Below are 19766 nucleotides of genomic sequence, written 5' to 3'. Positions count from 1 at the left end.
TTGTGCAGATGCAGCCGCTGCTGGCCAACCCTCCTTTCCTGAGAAGTCACCGCAGCACAAAAATATTTTTGTTTTCCCCAATTGCCCACAGGGAAAATTTCCTCACTCTTTTTTTCCTCCTCCCTTAAAATCCTCTGGCAATTTCCAGGAATCTAAGTAAACCAGAATTACTTAGATCATGAAGGGCCTTTTAGATGTTCTACTTCTAACATGACAAAAAAGAATCTGAAATTTAAATTCAATTATTATTAAACCAATCCCAAGAGTTCCTTTTAATAAATGAAGGCAATGCCACTGAAATCAAAATACCTCCCACTCCTGCCTAAAAATACAGTGCTCGGACTTGGGAGTTTAAATTATAAACAGTGGTAGCCAAAGTGATTAGATATCTGAATCAAATAACATTATGTGAAATGTGCTTCATACATGGTAAAGCCCTCTACAAATGTAAGCATTTTGCACCAACGTGGGCACAGTATACGACATAGATGATTATTCAAATCGTAAATTTGTATTCAAATTTGTTAGATGAATTACCCCAGTTACCTTGTTCATCCTGTGGGTTTACCAAGGTGCCTTGTACAGGGCTGACGACAGTGGAGGACTCCAGGAGATACTTTATTCTTTTCAGAACATTCATCAAGAAACATTTCTGCGCCAGAAACTAAATTTAGTTGGTGGGGAAGAGGTGGTAGAGCAATGAATCAGACTGGGTCTCTGCCTTCAAGATCTTTAAAATCTAGTAAAGAAATCATGATCTCCACACTAGCCCAGTGATTTTAACCAGGGACACTCTCTCCCCTCCACTCCACCATGGGGACATTTGACAATGTCTGGAGACGTTTGTGATGATCAAAACTGGAAGTGGAGGTACTACTGGCATCTAATGGAAAGAGGCAAGTGCTGCTGTTGAACATCCTATAATGCCCAGGACAGTCCCCCAGAACAAAGAATGATCTGGTCTAAAATGTCAGTGCCAGGGAGCCGCGGTGGCTCAGGCCTGTTGTCCTGGCGCATAAGGAGGTGAGGCTATGCATTCGAGGCCAGCCTGGGCAACATAGAAACCTCTAATCTATATAACAACAACAACAACAATTAAAAAATTTGGCAGGGCATGGTGGCTCAAGCCTGTAATCCCAGCATATTGAGAGGCCGAGGCTGGCAGATCAGAAGGTCAGGAGATCAAGACCATCCTGGCCAACATGGTGAAACCCCTGTCTCTACTAAAATACAAAAAATTAGCCGGGCATGGTGAATCGCTTGAACTCGGGAGGCAGAGGTTGCAGTGAGCTGAGATCACATCACTGCTCTCCAGCCTGGTGACAGAGCAAGACAACATCTCAAAAAAAAAAAAAAAAAAAAAAAAAAAAAAAAGTCAATAGTGCCAAAGTGGAGAAACCCCGAAAAAGATATATTAGTTAGAGCAAAACACTGATTGATTAACTAATTTCTTGACTAGTGTTGTTCCACATGGCAAATGACTTTCACCCGCAGACCCTAGTCATTTTAAATTTGTGCCTGTAACCTATTACAAGTGTTAAGTATCTTTTGAATACATAAGTACATTTAGACAGGTGCTGAATAAAGCATAAGATAAAGTGTCACCAGGCAAAATGAATGATAATTTAGAGTGAATTGTTAACCCAAAAGGACAAAAATTTTCTAGCTTGATGCCAAGCATATAGTAACTGCTCAGTGAACAGGAACTGAACATATTCAGATAACTTAGCAACACTCATTTGTCAGAAGCTAAAAGAAGAGTCATATCATTAAGGCACTCCTAGTAGTCATACAAACAGTGGTAGCCAAAATGATTAGTGTTGTGTCTGAATCAAATAGCATTATGTGAAATTTGCTTTATACGTAGTAAAGCCCTAAACAAATGCAGGCATTTGGCACCAAAGTAGATACAGTATACAAGACGGATGATGATTCTAATTGTAAAAATGTGTTAGATGAATTACCCAGTAACCTTATTCATTTTATGAGTTTACCAAGGTGCCTAGAAGTAGTAGCCTTCTTCTTGGAAATTCTTCACTATAGACTGCTAAGAATTGCATATTGTACCATGAAGAGATATGATCATGTAGTTTTATATTATAGCATTCAAAATTTTCACTAATTCAAGTTGGTGCTTCCTCAGTATGCCTTAGTGAATGCTAACGAAGTGTGAAGTTTCAAACATTAAAAAATTGAAGTGGGGCCGGGCATGGTGGCTCACGCCTATAATCCCAGCACTTTGGGAGGCCGAGGCAGGTGGATTACCTGAGGTCAGGAATTTGAGACCAGCCTGGACAACATGGTGAAACCCTGTTTCTACTAAAAATACAAAAGTTAGCCAGGTGTGGTGGTGGGTGCCTGTAATCCCAGCTGCTCAGGAGGCTGAGGCATGAGAATAGCTTGAATTCAGGAGGCGAAGGTTGCAGTGAGCTGAGATGGCACCGCTGTACATCAGCCTGGGCAACAGAGCAAGACTCTGTCTCCAAAAAAAAGAGGTGGCCACCTCATGAATTTAGGGAAGGAGGAAGTAGTGTTTTGGAAGTAGGGCTTTAACTCCTTTACATACAACGTGGCTTCTCGTTAAATACAATAACAGTAAAACAAAGTAGCAGTGGCACTGGCTTTAATCTATTGCTTGATACACATAAGCATCAATAGTAAGAGAATAGTTAAGTGCCACTCTTAGTTAAGGATCAATTAAAAGTAAAATTCTATCTTTAAATTAGAACACGTCAGTGGAAAAATATGATTTAATTTACTAAAATTATTTGCACTTTAGTTTTTCAGGAAAAATGGTCAGGTAGTCCAATGTGCTAATACTTTGAGATAAACAGAGCCATTGCATGGAAAATCTGTACTTTTGATTAAGTAATTATCTTCAATTTTGATATAATGGTTACCAAGGAAATATTGGCTTTCTTCTTCCACCTATTTGACCCATATTTTCTCAATGTAAATTGGTGACTAAGTCAGGAAATGGCATCTAATTTTGTATTAGCATTAGTCAAATGCAAGTAAGGGGGAGCTACCATACACATTTTAAAAAGAATGAATAATCTGCCATTTGCATAATCAGTATCAATGTCTGTTGAATTTAACACAGGTAATGTTCTTGATTTTTGCAACATAAAGGACCAAAGTTTTCTTTGAGTTTGAAAATTTCTACTTAAACTTTTTGCCCAAATATGAGTTTAATGAAGTTTGTTTAGGAGTGAGGAAGGGGAATTTTACTCTTTCCTTTTCATAAAGAAATAATTAAATAAATAAAAATGACTTCACCTCAGTAAGAGAAGGAATCTCAGGGTGGGAGTTTCTTAACAAATAACTGGGGTTAAAAGTAACACATTAGGTCAGGTGCAGTGGCACGCCCTGTAGTCCCAGCTACTCAGGAGACTGAGGCAGGAGGATGGCTTGAGCCCAGGAGGCAGAGGTTGCAGAGCTGAGATGGTGCTACTGCACTCCAGCCTGGGCAGCAGAGCAAGACCTCATCTCAAAAAAAAGCAACACATTTAAAAAATTACAAGGCTGGGTGCAGTGGCTCACACCTATAATTCCAGCACTTTGGGAGGCTGAGGTGGGCCGATCACTTGAGGTCAGGAGTTCCATACCAGCCTGGCCAACACAGCAAAGCCCCGTCTCCTCTAAAAAATATTTAAAAAATTAGCTGGGCATGGTGGCACGCACCTGTAGTCCCAGCTACTTGGGAGGCTGAGACACGAGAATCACTTGAACCCTGGCAGCAGATGTTGCAGTGAGTCGAGATCACACCACTGTACTCCAGCCTGGGTGATAGAGTGAGACTCCGTCTCAATTTTTTAAAAAATTAAAAGACTCAGGAAAATATTTCACGTGCTCAGAAAAAGAGGTATAACTAGTAAAAATGGGCCTTGATGTGATATATAAAGGCCTTCTCAGTAGCATCCACCTTCACCTATAATGAAAATATATGCCCTTTCTTCTCCAAGGGAAGTGGGTATGGCTAAGCAAGAATAATATTCTTCAGTGAGTATTGAAATAAAGAGTTTGGGTTGAAGAGGCCAAGAGTTTGAGATCAGCCCAGGCAACATAATGAGAACCTATCTCTACAAAATATTTAAAATATTTAAAAATCATCTGTATTGGCATGCACCAGTAGTCTCAGCTACTTCGGAAGCAGGATTGCTTGAGCCCAGGATTTCGAGGTTACAGTGAGCTAATGATTGCACTACTGTACTCCAGTCTGGGCAACATATTAAGACCCTGTCTCTATCTTTTTTTTTTTTTTAATGTGAGTTCAATAGAAATTAGCAAACATCTTTATTTTATTTTATATGTCCATGCTTTAACCCTCAATTCAGCTATATCTAAAACATAAGATATGTTTCCTTGGGCAAATCCTGGACTCAAGGGATTCTCCTGCCTCAGCCTCTCAAAGTGCTGGGATTACAGGGGTGAACCTCCCTGCCCAGCCTGAACTCACGTTCTTATCATTGGTTATGGACTGAGAATTCTAATTAGTTCCCCTCCTCTCATAACTTTTCAAATAAAACAGACATATAAAAAAGTCAGTTTTAGAGTCTCTCACAATTAGGCCATCAACAATACGATCAGGCTTAGTTGCCTAAGAGTAAGTTGTTTTTAAAATTCTAAGTTATCTCTCATTTCCACATCCAGAATGATATTCCCCTAATATTTATGATGATAATATTATTTTTAGGTGACGGGACATAAGGTTGTTTCTTCTTCTTTGTAATATTTTGTGTTGTTTGAATTTTTTTTATAATTCATGAAAATAATAGTCATTTTTAAAACCTCTCCGTTCAATTCACTTAGCAAAATTTATAGTTCACAGTCTTCTACCTTTTCTATTAGCTAAGTAATTTTCAAAATTTGCTTTTAAAAAATTCAACCCCACTTTCATCATTACAACTTATTTTAAAAGACTCTCCCATATAGCCAGTGTGGAAAGAAAGGATATCTGACTGTTTTCACAGGACACACTATCTTTGAAATTTTTTCCTTTGTCTATTTTTGTTCTTTGTGTTGTCACATTTAGTTGTTTCAGAATCCTGCTGAACTTCCCAAAGCATTCCGAAGGAATACCATCATATGCAAAATTTAGGTAACTTGGGAACGCTTTGCTCAACTTTGCTTTTCTTTAAAAAAAAATTTTTTTCCATGACACAGCCTCAGGAGGTCCTGACGACATGTGTCCTACTTTGCTCAACTTAGTGTTTGTACATGCTGGAATATAGTTTAAGACAAGGTTCCTAGGTAAGATAATCTCAGAAATTTTCTTTTGTGGTACAGGTGTCAGAGCAACAAAGCAGGATGAATTAGGAATAGACTTGGACAACACTGTGGTGTTGAGGCTTATACATTCTTTACACAGTTTTCCTTTTCAGGGCCTGGCCTTTGTGGTGTGATGAATACCACAGACCAATAAAACCTTCTAAGTGTCTTTCAGTCAATGATTCACTCTCACTGCATCCTGGATTCTGGCTCAATAACAGAAATTTTAAAATAGCTGCTTTTTAAAATTAGTCCAGTATGGTGGTGTGGGCCTGTTGTCCCAGCTACTCAGGAGGCCGAGGTGGGAGGACAGCTTGAGCCTGGGAGGCAGAGGTTGCAGACCTGAGATGGTGCCACTGCACTCCAGCCTGGGCAATAGAGCCAGACATTGTCTTAAAAAAAAAACATGCTGATTTTTAAAATGCTGGCAGTATTAGATTAGAAATCACTCATACTTTTTTTTTCTTTTTTGGCATTGTGGTTATACTATTAGTTATACTATTAGGTTATTACTGTTAGTACTCTATATAAAAGTGGGAAAATGAAAGAGAGTTTGTGTCATTGGAAAATTTCAAGGTCAGGCTGGATGATTATCCAAGGTCAGGCTGGATGACTATCAGGCATGCTCTAGAAGAGAGCATCCATTTAAAGGAAACTTGACTAGGGAGACCTCTCAAGTTCATCTTTCAATCCTGTGTTCTTGGCCAGGTGCAGTGGTTCATGCCTGTAACCCCAGCACTTTGGGAGGCTGAGGTGGGAGTTGCTTGAGCCCAGGAGTTGGAGACCAGCCTGGGCAACATAATGAGACTCTGTCTTTACAAAATAATAATAATAATAATAATAATAATAATAATAATAATAATAATAATAAAATTTTAATTAACTGGGCATGGTGGCACGCATTTGTAGTCCCAGCTATTCAGGGGGCTGAAGTGGGAGGATTGCTCGAGCCCAAGAGGTCAAGGCTGCAGAGAGCCATGACTGTGCCACTGCACTTCAGCCTGGGCAACAAAGCGAGACCCTGTCTCAAAAAAAAATCAATCAATCAAACAATCAAGCCTGTGCTCTGAAGTTTACCCTCTAATCTTATGATAGTAATGCACTATTTTGGAAGAACAGGAGTCTCTTCTGGCCATGTTCTTCACTTTGTCTTGATTCTGAAACCTTTGTGTGTGTGCCAGCTCTGAGAATTAAACAGAGGAGGATGGGGCGTGTGGAAAAGTATTCCTAGGAGACTCGGAGCTGTCCAGCAGTCAAAGGAGCTGCACACAATGAGCTCCAGCTAATGAGACTTGTCACGGCATTTGGAACAGGGATTCAGCGAGGCCATTCTTGACCAGGGAGAGGGGTGTATATGTATACATCTATATAGAATTCTTTGCTTACCCAACCCATTCCCAATGGGGATTTTTTTTTCCTGATTTACATGTTGCTTTTCTTTTTAAATGGGGGCCAATGGGCTTCTAAATTGTATAGAGAAAAGAGCAAGTGATAATGTACAGAGCAAGCTAGAAGGAGAAGAGCTGAAGAGGACAGCAGGCAAAAATAGGACTACTACACTGTACAAGCAGCCTTTCAGCTTGTTAATTACAAGCTATTTAGCAAACACACACACATTCTATGCAAACATGCCCCATAAGTAGGTGCCACTCTATGGCAGCTTCATTATTTACATTTTGCAGTCAGCAGTCATTTTAGCACACCGTTTTGGAAAAAAAAAAATGAATGTGTCGAGTATTAGCTTACAAAGCCTTCACAGACTTTTTTGTATAATAAATAAATAAATAAGTAGATTTGGCCTAAAAAGGTTGTTCAGCCTTTTTTCCTTTGCGAGTGACAGACACATTCGCTTTGATGAATGCCCACTTGATTGACGTTCTGAAGAAAGACATAAAAATCCTTAAGCTTGTTTATATATTCTTATAAATGGTTGGATACCTAGCTGCATTTTCTTATATTGCCTTCTAAAGAGGAACCCACATTTCCACAGACATCCTGGATTTGAGAGGAGGAATGGAATATGGGGAAACATCTCATCCAGCTTCCATGTGCTATGCAATTCAGTAGTAACCCAACTTTATAGGTAAAACAACTGAATGTGGAGAGGCTAAGTGATAATTTTTAATAACTTGAAAAATTACAAATTCAAAAATAAATTTTAATAAAAAAATTACATTTAAAGTTTCTAAAAAATTTACATATTCATTGTAGAAAATTTGGGAAATATAAAAATATACACAAAAAAGAAAATTAAAATTATCCTGATGAAACTACTGGTTTTTGTTGTTGTTGTTGTTGTTTGAGATGGAGTCTAGCTCTGTCTCCAGGCTGAGTGCAGTGGTGCAATCTCGGCTCACTGCAACCTCTGCCTCTTGGGTTCAAGCGGTTCCCCTGCCTCAGCCTCCCAAGTAGCTGGGATTACAGGCACGCGCTGCCATGCTGAGCTAATTTTTGTATTTTTAGTAGAGACAGGGTTTCACCACGTTGGCCAGGCTGGTTTCAATCTCCTGACCTCATGATCCGCCCACCTCAGGCTCCCAGAGTGCTGGGATTCCAGGCGTGAGCCACCGGGCCCAGCCGAAACTACTATTAACAGTCTCCCAAACACATATGAAATATGTATGTGGTTACATATATATTTCATGCTCAAAATATTGAGGAGGAAAAAAAGGCAAAGTAAAAGAGTTGTTAGCCCATCTTTTCCAAATTGGGAACCACTGTACACATTTTTATTTTTTTTTTAGACAGTCTCACTCTGTCACCCAGGCTGGAGTGCAGTGGCACGATCTTGGCTCGTTGCAACCTCCACCTCCCAGGTTCAAGCGATTCTCCTGCCTCAGCCTCCTGAGTAGCTGGGATTACAGGCACGTGCCACCATGCCTGGCTACTTTTTGTGCTTTTAGTAGAGATGGGGTTTCACCATGTTGGCCAGGCTGGTCTCAAACTCCTGACCTCAAGTGATCCACCCGCCTCGGTCTCCCAAAATGCTGGGATTACAGCCATGAGCCACCGTGCCCGGCCCACTGTCCACATATTTTAATCACCTTCTTTAACGCGTCTCCTCTTCCCCTGAGACCAATCTGATGATAAATTGTAAATGGGGTGCCAGATCTCCTATTTGAAAAATAGCACCAGGTTTGTAGGTAATTCCTTACCTTTCTTTTCCTCAGTAGAGACCCAGGAAATTGTAAAAGAAGTATGATACTGCAAAACACCTTTGTTTTTGCGAGATAACTTTGGAGGTGCCCGTGTTGACAGCTGTAGTCAGTCACATGCTTACCAGAACAAAGAGCTCTACAAAGGGAGAAGTTAACTTTAGCTTTGAAAATCCTTTTATCCTTCATGATTTGGTGCCTTTAAATTTGTCACCTGAATGCGATATTAACATAATCGTCTGCATTTCAGCTAATGAATGCACCTGCTTCTAAGACTTTATTTTAGCAGTTTTAATGAGCTCTTCAAAAGAGTTTGCCTGGACTTACTGCACTGCTAGAGAAATAGCAGCTGTAAGCAACTAGCAACACATTCAGTATTTGAATCAAGCTCTGTGAAGTTGTTAAGCTTGAGAAGGAGTATCTATCCATCTGTTTGTGATAAGGGAAATGAAAATTGAGATGCGGCTGTGGCATTTGGAAAGAGCACTAGAGTAACTGGGTCTGGCCAAAGGTTATTCTCTGGCCGTAAGTATGGATCTCAAGCATATGGATTTAATGTATTGATTTAAGCTAAATTCTAGTTTTCTTGTCTATCTAATAATGATACCCATTTATAAGCTTGTAAGGATTAAATATCTCACCTGTTATATGCACTCATTAACATTAGATTTTTATAATTATGATGTTTATTAAGAAGATGTGACTTTACAAAGGGCCATTTGAGTCCATTCATAGGAAATACCCTGAACAGGTAAATACACAAACTCAGAAAGTAGATTGGTGGTTGCCAGGGGCTGCCGGGGGAAGTTGGAAGCAATTGCGTAATGGACATGGGGTTTCCTTTGGGTATGATCCAAATGTTTTGGAACTAGATGCAAGTGGTGGTTGTACAATGTTGTAAATATACTAAATGCCTCTGAATTGTTCACTTTAAAATAGGTAATTGTCTGGGCACAGTGGTTCATGCCTATAATCCCAGCACTTTGAGAGGCCGAGGTGGATGGCGGGGAGAGGATTGTTTGAGCCCAGGAGTTCAAGACCAGCCGGGGCAATAAAATGAGATCCTGTTTCTGGAAAAAAAAAAAAAAAAACAAAACAAAGCAAGAAAAATAAATAACCTAGGTAATTTTATGTTATGTGAATTTCACCTCAATAATTTTGAAAAAGGACAAGGTCCTGTGGCTCATGCTTATAATCCCGGCATTTTGGGAGGCTGGGGTGGGAGGGTTGCTTGAGCCCAGGAGTTTGTTACTAGCCTGAACAACATAAGGAAACCACATCTCTACAAAAAATTTAAAAATTTTTAAAATTAGCTGGGCATTGTGGGTGGGTGGTGGGGGTTGGGGAGTTGAGGCTGCCGTGAGCCATGATGGTGCCACTGAATTCCAGCCTGTCTCAAAAATAATAATTTTTAGCTGAGCGCAGTGGCTCACGCCTGTAATCCCAGCACTTTGGGAGGCTGAGAGGCCGAGGCGGGCGGATCACGAGGTCAGGAATTTGAGACCAGCCTGGCCAATATGGTGAAACCTCATCTCTACTAAAATAAACAAACAAACACAACTTGGCTCGTCATGGTGGTGCGCACCTGTAGTCCCAGCTACTCCAGGAGGCTGAGGCAGAAGAATCACTTGAACCCAGGAGGCAGAGGTTGCAGTGAGCTGAGATCGCACCACTGCACTCCAGCCTGGGCAACAGAGTGAGACTCCGTCTCAAAAAATAATAATAATAATAATTTTTAAAAATGTGACTTTAGATGGATTTAGTAAATTCCATTGGGTTGACTATAGGTTGTAAGATGGTTCCTAGATAAATAATTGCTCAACAAGACATATAGTAAGGAAAAAAACAAGCAAACTGATCGCCTTACATAAGTAATCAGAAAGACTGTTTCATTGCTGAATCATACCTTGACTCCACAGTGAAGATTTTTGCAAGGGAAAATATTAACCAATTTCTGGAGGTCCAAATCCCTAAACAATTCTGTAAGCCATTTAAATTTTGTAACTGTTATATGGAAGTTAGCATATTAGAATACTCATTTACTTCCAATATATATTTTAATACTTTTTATTATATACTCAAATTAATTCTATGCTTGTTACACTGATTTCAACATCACATTTTCATAATATCCCTCTCCTTTTCTTCATATGCTCCTGTGTGTACTTTGGGTAGTAGTAACCACCCATCCAAAACTCAAGTGAATGGAAGACAAAAAACATAGGACAAATGTTGCTTTAAAAATATACACAGCAGGCCGGGCACAGTGGCTCATGCCTGTAATCTCAGCACTTTGGGAGGCTGAGGCAGGTGGATCACGAGGTCAGGAGTTCGAGACCAGCCTGGCCAACCCGGTGAAACCCCATCTGTACTAAAAATACAAAAATTAGCAGGGCGTGGTGGTGGGTGCCTGTAGTCCCAGCTACTCAGGAGGCTGAGGCAGGAGAATTGTTTGAAACCTGGAGGTGGAGGTTGCAGTGAGCTAAGATCGTGCCATTGCACTCCAGCCTGGGCGACAGGGTGAGACTCCATCTCAAAAAATATATATAATATATATATTTATATATATGTAAATATTTATATTTATATGTGTATATATTATATATATTTATATATTGTATATTTATATATTTTATATATTTATATATTGTATATATTTTATATATTTATATATTGTATATATTATATATTTTATATATTTATATATTGTATATATTATATTTTATATATTTATATATTGTATATATTATATTTTATATATTTATATATTGTATATATTATATTTTATATATTTATATATTGTATATATTATATATTTTATATATTTATATATTGTATATATTATATTTTATATATTTATATATTGTATATATTTTATATATTTATATATTGTATATATTATATTTTATATATTTTTATATATTATACATAAGTATATATGTATATATACGTATATATATTTTTATATATATACGTATATATATAATATATATATACATATATATATAATATATATGTATATATATAATATATATATACATGTATACATATACACACACACATACACACACAGCAGGCTGGGCGCGGTGGCTCATACCTATAATCCTAGCACTTTGAGAGGCCGAGGCAGGCAGATTGCCTGAGCTTAGGAGTTCAAGACCACCCTGGGCAACATGGTGAAAACCCATCTCTACTACAATACAAAAAAAAAAAAATAGTCAGGCATGGTGGCAGCTGCCTGTAGTCCCAGCTACTTGAGAGGCTGAGGCATGAGAATTGCTTGAAGCTGGGAGGCGGAGGTTGCAGTGAGCCGAGATTGCACCACTGCACTCCAGCCTGGGAGATACAGCGAGACTCTGTCTCAAAAAAAAAAAAAAGGAAAAAAAAGGAAATATATACAGCAGATACATTACAGACCAATTGGAGGTAACACCCTGAAATGAAGATGCCACAGATTTTTATCTTTCTCTCTCCTTGTAAAATTGGTAACACGAAGGCAAGATAACTGTTAAGTAAATGGAAAATTCTTCAATTTCCTTTTTATTTTATCTCAATAAAAATGAGGCAGCTATTCTAGCTAGGGTGGAAGTAATTTATTCTCTGTACTCCTTCTCTCCTTCACATCATCCTGACCAACAGTCTTCCCTCAATATTTGGAGCTGGTTCATTGGTGTTTCACTCACACACCACAACACTGGAGAATCACTCAGAAATCAGGACCAACTTAGGAATCTTCGCCGGCTTGATGCAAGAGTTTCTCTGGAAAGGCATTGATTTCTAGAAGCCCCCAACTTGAATCTGCTGGAGTAAGCAGCCTTCTGGCAACTGCTTGCATTCCCACATCTCAAGAGATCCACTTTATCCAGACTTGCGTGGAGCATCTCTCCAGAAAACATCCAGTTCTACTTTTAGACCTTAGCTTTGTAATCTGAGCAAACAACCCCACGGGGGCTCACCTCCAGCTGCCCTTAGGCAGTGTTTTGCTACCCAAGGCGAGCTGACCTTATACTGATGAAGACCTGCTATCTATGGCCTAGCTAGTCACAGCGTGGTCCTCAGAAGGGCAGCATCAGCGTCACCTGGGAGCAGAGAGTCTCGGTCCTCACTCCAGGGCTATTGAATCAGAATCTGTAGCTCAACAAGGTTCCCAGGTGATTTGTATGCAGTTTTAGGATTAAATAGCAGTGGTCTAACAGACCTGCCTGAGTTGCTTTTTCCAGCAACAGAACTCCCCATGTCCTGGTCTGAAGTTGTTATCCATCCATTTTCCACTACCAGTCTCTACACAGATTTCTCTGCAGCGCTCCAGGGCAAGCTATCTCTATTTTGGATGAATTCCCAACCAGTGGGTCTTATAGCAATCTGCATTTCTATTATTTGGGTGGTCACACAAGTAGATAGCACAGCCTCCCACTAGCCTGAACCATACCCATTCCCCTCCAACTCATTTTGTTCTCCTTATTCCCACAGCTGTAGTGTTACAATGATCATAAATTATTGTTAAAGAAGAAAATTACCAAAAGAAAAAAAAATAGTCTCTATAAACCTGCATAGTTTAGAGCTAAAGAATATGTTAAAATTTTCCATCATGGAAATTTCCCAGCTACTGGGCTCTTTAGATTTTTTTTTTTTTTTCAGAGCTGCAAGCAAAGAATGGAAATTTCCAATTGCAGCATCGAGGGCTGCTGTTCTGCTGACTGTCTTGCTCAGCCGGGGTCATCTGCTTCTCTAAGACATCAAGGAATGCCAAGGTAGGTCTGAGAGAAAACACATACTTCCTCTGCAGGAAGGAAGGAATGTCTTTATGCTGCCTCCAACTTGTAATTAGGGGAGGGGCAGGAGAGGTGACATCCCCCTGCTCCATCCACCTGGATGTGGATTTTGTTGTTACCACCTATCAGCAGCTTATCCTACTTGACATCTTTCCAGTGGCAGCTGGCTGGCAGGTTTTTCGTTTTTTAAGAAATCCTTAAGGGGGTGGGGGATCCAGAGAGATGGAGGGAACCAACATTTTTGAGGTGTACTCTTCTAAGTAACCCACCAGGTATTTTATATATGTTATGTCATTTAACCTTGTCACACTTAGCCTTCATTACATTTAACCTTGTGACCCACCCAAGGTTAACTTCTGATTTTCTGCACTCAAATTTTGGAAGCATCATTTGTTCTTCCTAAGACAGCCCTATTGCCCCCAGCCCTCCTATAAACCAGTTATCTTCAAGCATCCTGAAGGTTTTGTTTCCACCTCCTCAATAACATCAACAGCTCCGTTCCTTTTTATTATATCTAAGTTGAAAGATATTTCCATTCACAGGTGGTCCTGATGTCTGAGTCAACGGGCGTCTAATAGTTCTCTAAATTCTGTCATGTACCTCCCCACTCACTACTGCTATTACTACAGAAGTATGGTGGCAGCTCCACGAAGTCTGAGTATAAAGGCACTGGCATCTTGCAAACAAAGCTAAGGACCCTGACTGGCTCTAGGCCTGAAAGAACATTCTCATACCTAGGCTGGGTGGGTTTGTCTGGGTGGTTTGGGAGTTTTGTGTTTTTTTTTTTGTTTGTTTTTTAATATAAAAAACTTCTAGGGGGATTCTGAAATACCGTAAGAAGCAAGAGCTATCTATGTTTACTCTCTTCTTACAGACAGCCATATCATACCAGGAAAAGAAATGCTAAGGAGGTCTTCTGACATCGCTGTTGCTATTTATACGTAACATCATTTATTGAGGCAAGTTTGGTAATAGTGAAGATTTTCTAGCAATAAATTTTAAAAAATCATTACATGGCTAGTAAGTTAAAAAAAATTCTCCCCTGTCTGTCATTTCAATCACATCCATATCCATAGGTAGTGATATGATCTTTGAATACAGTGACCAATTTTACCACCACCCAATGATAAAAGTGGAGGCAAATGGGAATCAGCCAGAATATTGTAGGTCTGTTTAGGGTTGAGCCTCAAAAGCTGATGTTTAGTTGAGTTATTGCTTACATCTGTGACAATGATTTTCCGTATCCCTTTAACCCATTAAAACTGAGTCTGATTCCCTGGTGAAATTCATCAAGTGGTATTTGAATATGGGTCTGGGTCTCATGTGATATGTACACATTTCCAACAGACTTCTTTCCACCCCTCCTCTGTATTTGTCATTAGCTAGAAGATAGTGGTCCTCTTAGCTGAAGACACTGATGATTCATATCTGTGGGTGGGGCTGAATAGACTGATGTATGATGACTCGTTCTTTCCGCTTTAGACCACAGAGATGACTTTTAAAATTTTGTGGTTGGAATACACGCTGTTTTAGATGATGATTGATTGTTTGTGATTTCAAACATGGCCTCAATTCTGTCCCTCCTGTTTCCCTGCCCCTTGCAATGTGACTTTGCAGCTCCTCCCATCAAGAGCTGGAGTCTGTTTCTACATTCCTTGAGTCTGGGCCTGCCTTTTGGCTGGCTTTGGCCACTAGAATGTAATTGAAATAATGGTGTTCCAGTTCCAAGCCTAAGCCTCAAGTGTGTGCTTCGGCTCTCCTCTGAAACCTGCCAGGGCTATGCGAACAAGTCCAGGCTAGCCGGCTGGAGGATGAGACATCCTGTGGAGTCAAGATGAGCCACTCCAGCTGAAGCCATTTTAGACCAGCCAGCTCCAAGCGAACATACCAGCTGATCACAAATGTGTGAGCAAGCCCACTGTGGTCAGCTGGGCCCAGCCCAGATCAGCAGAACCTCTCAGCCAATTCACAGACTCGAGAAATAGTAAATGGTAGCTGTTATATGCCATGCAATTTTAAGATGGTTTGTTATGAAGTAACAGGTAACTAATACAGGTGATCAATTATCTTCTTCCCCCCAACGCCCCCCATGGCTAGGAAGCTCAGAGCCAAATTCAAAAGCCAATCGTAGAAACTATGTTTATTTATTTATTCATGTTTATCACACACTTTATGGGTAACGTATGTGCAATCTTCTCTCTCCTTAATGGTGAATTTTTAAAATTCGATAACCTATTGTTTACCACATTGACTCTGAACCAACCCAATACCTTGTTTTAAATATTTAGGTGGTTGTTATTTATCAGATTAGAAGAGAAGAATCTAGAGTGAGGACTGGCAAACACTCACTTTCTTTTTCTTTTTTTTGAGACAGAGTCTCACTCTGTCACCCAGGCTGGGGTACAGTGGCACAATCTCAGCTCACTGCAACCTCCACCTCCTGGGTTCAAGCAATTTTCCTGCCTCAGCCTCCCAAGTAGCTGGGACTACAGGCATGCGCCACCATGCCTGGCTAGTTTTTTTGTGTGTACCTTTAGTAGAGACGGGGTTTCGCCATGTCAGTCAGAGTGGCCTCAAACTCCTGGACTCTGGTCTCGAAATCCTGGACTCAAGTGATCCTTCCATCTCAGCGTCCCAAAGTGCTGAGGTTACAGGCATGAGTCACCGCACCTGGCCTAGGATTGGCAAACACTTTCTGTAAAGGGCCAGCCAGTAAATATTTTAAGCTTTGCAGGCTGTATAGTCTCTGTCATAACTACCTAACTCTGCTGTTATAGCACTAAAGCAGCCATAGACAACCTGTATACAAATGAGCATGGCTGTATTCCAGTAAAACTTAATTACAGAAACAGGCGGTGGATCAGATTTGGCCCTCAGGCCATAGTTTGCTGACCTCTGCTCTAGAGCAATACGTTACTATGCAAAAACATCTTCACCTACACTACAGTCTCCTCAACTTTATTGTAATTTATCTCAGTTGTTTTGGAAAAAAAAAAAAAGACAAATGAAGTGAATTTACTTCCTCTAGCAGAGGACAAGAAGAGGCTGACTGTGCGGTAGGAAAGTATATAGCATTTGTACCAGAGCAAGTATGACACTGAACAAATCCTCTGGCCACTTCGTCCATGACTGCTTATTTAGTTCAATGCTGAAGGCCAGAATAACACAAGCAATGTCTCATTTGTTTTGTTTCATCCCACAGCTTCTAATCTCAAACACTCATTTAACAAATGCATGCTGGATGTCACAATAAGGATGGCGCTCCAGTCCTTCTTGCCTACTCGGAGTTCCCTGAATGTATTGTGCTATTTCACGCCTCTCTAACTCTGCACACAATGTTCCTTCTGCCTGGAACACACTTAGCCCTCTTCTCTTACTGGCTAACGCCTACACGCTGATCAAAACTAAGCTCAATGATACTGCCTCTTGGAAGACTTCCCTGAGTGCACTTCTACCTCCTCACCCTCAACCTTCAGCCCGCACACTCAATCTCAGCATTTATTCTACTAAACTCATAATTAAGATAGCTAATGCTTATATGGTACCAGACACTTACTATGGGCCAGGCACAGTTACATCCTGTCATTTCATTGAAGTTATTGGTATGCTTGCCTGTTTCCACAAGACAATCATACGTTCAGAAACATTTATTGAGTACTTTGCAACTGGCGTGCTAGGCAAAGTAAATAAAACAGTGACAGTAAAGTAATAAAACAGACCGTAAGCCCACTGAGGGAACCTACTGCATGTTATTTGTTTTTACCTCTCAACACCTAGCAGCGTCCAGAGCAGAGGTTTTGTTTTAATTTTTTTTTTTGACACAGGATCTAACTATCTCCCAGCCCAGAGGGCAGTGGCACGATCATGGTTCTCTGCAGCCGTGATCTCCTGGTCTCAAGCAATCCTCCCACGTTGGCCTCCTGAGCAGCTGGGGCTACAGGCGTGTGCTACCATGCCCAGCTCATTTTTAAAATTATTTTGTATAGAGACAGTATCTTGCTATGTTGCCCAGGCTGGTCTTGAACTCCTGGCCTCAAGCAATCTTCCCACTTCGGCCTCCCAAAGTGCTGGGATTACTGGCGTGAGCCACCCATACCTGGTCAGAACAGAGGCTGTTTGTTTGTTTGTTTTTGAGACGGAGTCTTATTCTGTCACCCAGGCTGGAGTGCAATGACATGATTTCGGCTCATTGCAACCTCCACCTTCCGGGTGCAAGGAATTCTCCTGTCTCAGTCTCCTGATAGCTGGGATTACAGGCGCGTGCCACTATGCCCAGCTAATTTTTGTTTTTTTTAGTGAAGACGGGGTTTCACCATGTTGGCCAGGATGGTCTCAATCTCTTGACCTCATGATCTGCCCACCTCAGCCTCCCAAAGTGCTGGGATTACAGGCCTGCACCACCACCCCCGGCCCACAGATGTTTTAAATTAATATTAGAAGAACAAATGAAAATACCACTTACATGGTACAAAATACGTGCTAGGCCATGTTCTAAGCTCTTTACATCTCTAAGCCTCAAAACAACTTTATGGGGTAGCTGGTATAATTATCACCATTTCACACACGGGAATTGAAGGCATGGAGAATTTTTAGGTAATTTTCCCAAGGTCATACGGCTAGTATGTGACAGAGCTGGTTCCAGAATCTATGTTCACAACCCCTGGATGAAATGAAAGCTTGAGTGACTCAGCATAAATCCATTTCTACTCCTGGGAAAGTAATTTTTTTATTTTTTATTTTTTTTTGAGATGGAATCTTGCTCTGTCGCCCAGGCTGGAGTGCAGTGGTGCGATCTCGGCTCACTGCTTCCCAGGTTCAAGCGATTCTCCAGCCTCAGCCTCCCGAGTAGCTGGGATTACAGGCATGTGCCACCGTGTCTGGCTAATTTTTTTTTTTTTTGTATTTTTAGTAGAGACGAGGTTTCACCATGTTGGTCAGGCTGGTCTCGAACTTCTGACCTCAGGTGATCTGCCCACCTTGGCCTCCTAAAGTGCTGGGATTACAGGTGTGAGCCACCGTGCCGGGCCCCTAGGGAAAGTAGTTTAAAAGATGCATCTTTGAGAACATAGGTTGTCCAGTGGTACCAGTCACGTGCTTAAGGTTAGGAGTCAGAGAATTGTGTTCGCAGCTGCTCTCAAGTGCTTGATGTAAGTGAGTGATATTGGTAGTGGCATTGACAGTTCCTGCAAGGTGCAGTCTTACATTTACAGAGCATTACGGTGCATTCTGAACTCTGATCTGATTTCTCCCACCACCCTCTCCTCCTCTCGGGTGGTATGCATCAATGCTCAGGGGCAACTCCAGCAGGGTTTCTGCCAGCATGTGTCTGCCGTGTTGACTCTTTCCTGATGGCAGGCAAGTTATACAGTAGATCCATCCGTGTTGGCCTATTCCCATGGACACTTCAGCAAATTAGCATTTTGGAGAAGACTACACAGAAACATCCATAATACTGGTGAACCTGGCTGGGTGTGTGCATCTTTAAAAAAGTATTGCTGGCCGGGCATGGTGGCTCATGCCTGTGATCCCAGCACTTTGGAGGCCAAGGCGGGCAGATCACCTGAGGTCAGGAGTTCGAGACTAGCCTGGCCAATGTGGTGAAACCCTGTCTCTACTAAAATTACAAAAAGATTAGCTGGATGTAGTGGCGGGCACCTGTAATCCCAGCTACTTGGGAGGCTGAGTCAGGTGAATTGCTTGAACCCGGGAGGCGGAGGTTGCAGTAAACCGAGACCACGCCATTGCACTCCAGCCTGGGCAACAAGAACGAAACTCCATCTCAAAAAAAAAAAGTATTACTGCCAGTCATTTATGGAAGGCTTTGGAAGTCCCCATGGGGCCTTGCAAGCAACATGCCACTCAGCAGGGAAGATAAAGACAGGGAGAGACAGTGACTGGCCTGCAGCTGTTTCTAAGGACAGGCTTGCTCTGCTGAAAAAAACAAAGAACAGATATTTGGAATAGAATTTTGCATCTGAAACAAATATGGATTTGGAGAATTTTAGGTTTGAGCATTAAGACATTAGAAAATAAAGCCAGGCACAGTGGTGCACACCTATAGTCACAGCTACTAGGGAGGCGGAGTTGGGAGGATTGCTTGAGCCCAGGAGTTTGACACTGTAGTCATGCCTGTGATCATGCCTGTGAATAGTCACATAGTGAGACCCTGTCTCTAAAAAAACTAAAAAAAGAAAGAAAAGTGATCACAGAGTCCCTGCAGACCCTTGAAGTCTATGGTCTCTCTGAGTAGAGAACAAATGTGTCCATTCTCCCACCTCAAGGCAGCTTAAAAAAAAAAAGTAACTCTTCTTCTTTACTCCGTTTGCAAACTAGATAACTAGGAGGAGGTGAACAGGCAATTTCCTCGGTGGCCTCCACTGATCGTTTAGAGGATGCAACAAGGTACCAGGGCCAGGACTGGTTCCCACAAGCTTCCTGTTCTCAGTCTGAGGCACAACAGAGGCTAAAAAGAATTCAAAGATTCAAGAATTGGCTCTTAGAAGCAACCATGTGTCACCAAAGAGCTGGGCAAGATAGTGCTTGTTGGCTTTTCTCCTAGTCAAGAATT

At 41.0% G+C, this 19766-nt stretch overlaps 1 protein-coding gene across 2 annotated transcripts in view, besides 10 other annotated features; it reads right to left on the bottom strand.

The window, feature by feature from the left end:
* MKLN1 (muskelin 1) overlaps positions 1–19766 on the bottom strand; it is a 386539-nt gene that overhangs the window by 293112 nt on the left and 73661 nt on the right. The window lies entirely within an intron of this gene.
* Positions 7718–7862: an enhancer, noted in NCBI's record as "145 bp 7:130880490 sequence used in MPRA reporter constructs". NCBI's record gives its function as "activates a minimal TATA-containing promoter with rs4731762 allelic activity by MPRAs in C283T melanocytes and UACC903 melanoma cells {active_cell/tissue: C283T | UACC903}" and the evidence as "EXISTENCE:reporter gene assay evidence [ECO:0000049][PMID:36423637]".
* Position 7790: a transcriptional cis regulatory region, noted in NCBI's record as "rs4731762 or 7:130880490 MPRA-significant variant associated with a GWAS melanoma risk locus at 7q32.3". NCBI's record gives its function as "allelic transcriptional activity by MPRAs in C283T melanocytes and UACC903 melanoma cells {active_cell/tissue: C283T | UACC903}" and the evidence as "EXISTENCE:reporter gene assay evidence [ECO:0000049][PMID:36423637]".
* Positions 11949–12707: an enhancer, noted in NCBI's record as "H3K27ac hESC enhancer chr7:130875573-130876331 (GRCh37/hg19 assembly coordinates)". NCBI's record gives its function as "activates a minimal SCP1, AML or CMV promoter by ChIP-STARR-seq in naive H9 embryonic stem cells {active_cell/tissue: H9 hESC(naive)}" and the evidence as "EXISTENCE:reporter gene assay evidence [ECO:0000049][PMID:30033119]".
* Positions 14108–15307: an enhancer, noted in NCBI's record as "MED14-independent group 3 enhancer chr7:130872973-130874172 (GRCh37/hg19 assembly coordinates)". NCBI's record gives its function as "activates an origin of replication core promoter dependent on BRD2, BRD4, P300/CBP and CDK7 cofactors, and independent of MED14, by STARR-seq in HCT116 cells {active_cell/tissue: HCT116}" and the evidence as "EXISTENCE:reporter gene assay evidence [ECO:0000049][PMID:35650434]".
* Positions 14108–15418: a biological region, named in NCBI's record as "MED14-independent group 3 enhancer GRCh37_chr7:130872973-130874172".
* Positions 14417–14917: an enhancer, noted in NCBI's record as "H3K27ac hESC enhancer chr7:130873363-130873863 (GRCh37/hg19 assembly coordinates)". NCBI's record gives its function as "activates a minimal SCP1, AML or CMV promoter by ChIP-STARR-seq in naive H9 embryonic stem cells {active_cell/tissue: H9 hESC(naive)}" and the evidence as "EXISTENCE:reporter gene assay evidence [ECO:0000049][PMID:30033119]".
* Positions 14554–14603: an enhancer, noted in NCBI's record as "active region_26672". NCBI's record gives its function as "activates an Ori minimal core promoter by ATAC-STARR-seq in GM12878 lymphoblastoid cells {active_cell/tissue: GM12878}" and the evidence as "EXISTENCE:reporter gene assay evidence [ECO:0000049][PMID:35858748]".
* Positions 14734–14803: an enhancer, noted in NCBI's record as "active region_26671". NCBI's record gives its function as "activates an Ori minimal core promoter by ATAC-STARR-seq in GM12878 lymphoblastoid cells {active_cell/tissue: GM12878}" and the evidence as "EXISTENCE:reporter gene assay evidence [ECO:0000049][PMID:35858748]".
* Positions 14904–15113: an enhancer, noted in NCBI's record as "active region_26670". NCBI's record gives its function as "activates an Ori minimal core promoter by ATAC-STARR-seq in GM12878 lymphoblastoid cells {active_cell/tissue: GM12878}" and the evidence as "EXISTENCE:reporter gene assay evidence [ECO:0000049][PMID:35858748]".
* Positions 14918–15418: an enhancer, noted in NCBI's record as "H3K27ac hESC enhancer chr7:130872862-130873362 (GRCh37/hg19 assembly coordinates)". NCBI's record gives its function as "activates a minimal SCP1, AML or CMV promoter by ChIP-STARR-seq in naive H9 embryonic stem cells {active_cell/tissue: H9 hESC(naive)}" and the evidence as "EXISTENCE:reporter gene assay evidence [ECO:0000049][PMID:30033119]".

The sequence above is a fragment of the Homo sapiens genome, chromosome 7 (genome assembly GCF_000001405.40).
Source record: "Homo sapiens chromosome 7, GRCh38.p14 Primary Assembly".
In the NCBI taxonomy this organism is placed as follows: Eukaryota; Metazoa; Chordata; class Mammalia; order Primates; family Hominidae; genus Homo; species Homo sapiens.
Note: the sequence above shows the minus strand (reverse complement) of the source record. Positions and strands in the feature narration are given on the sequence as shown.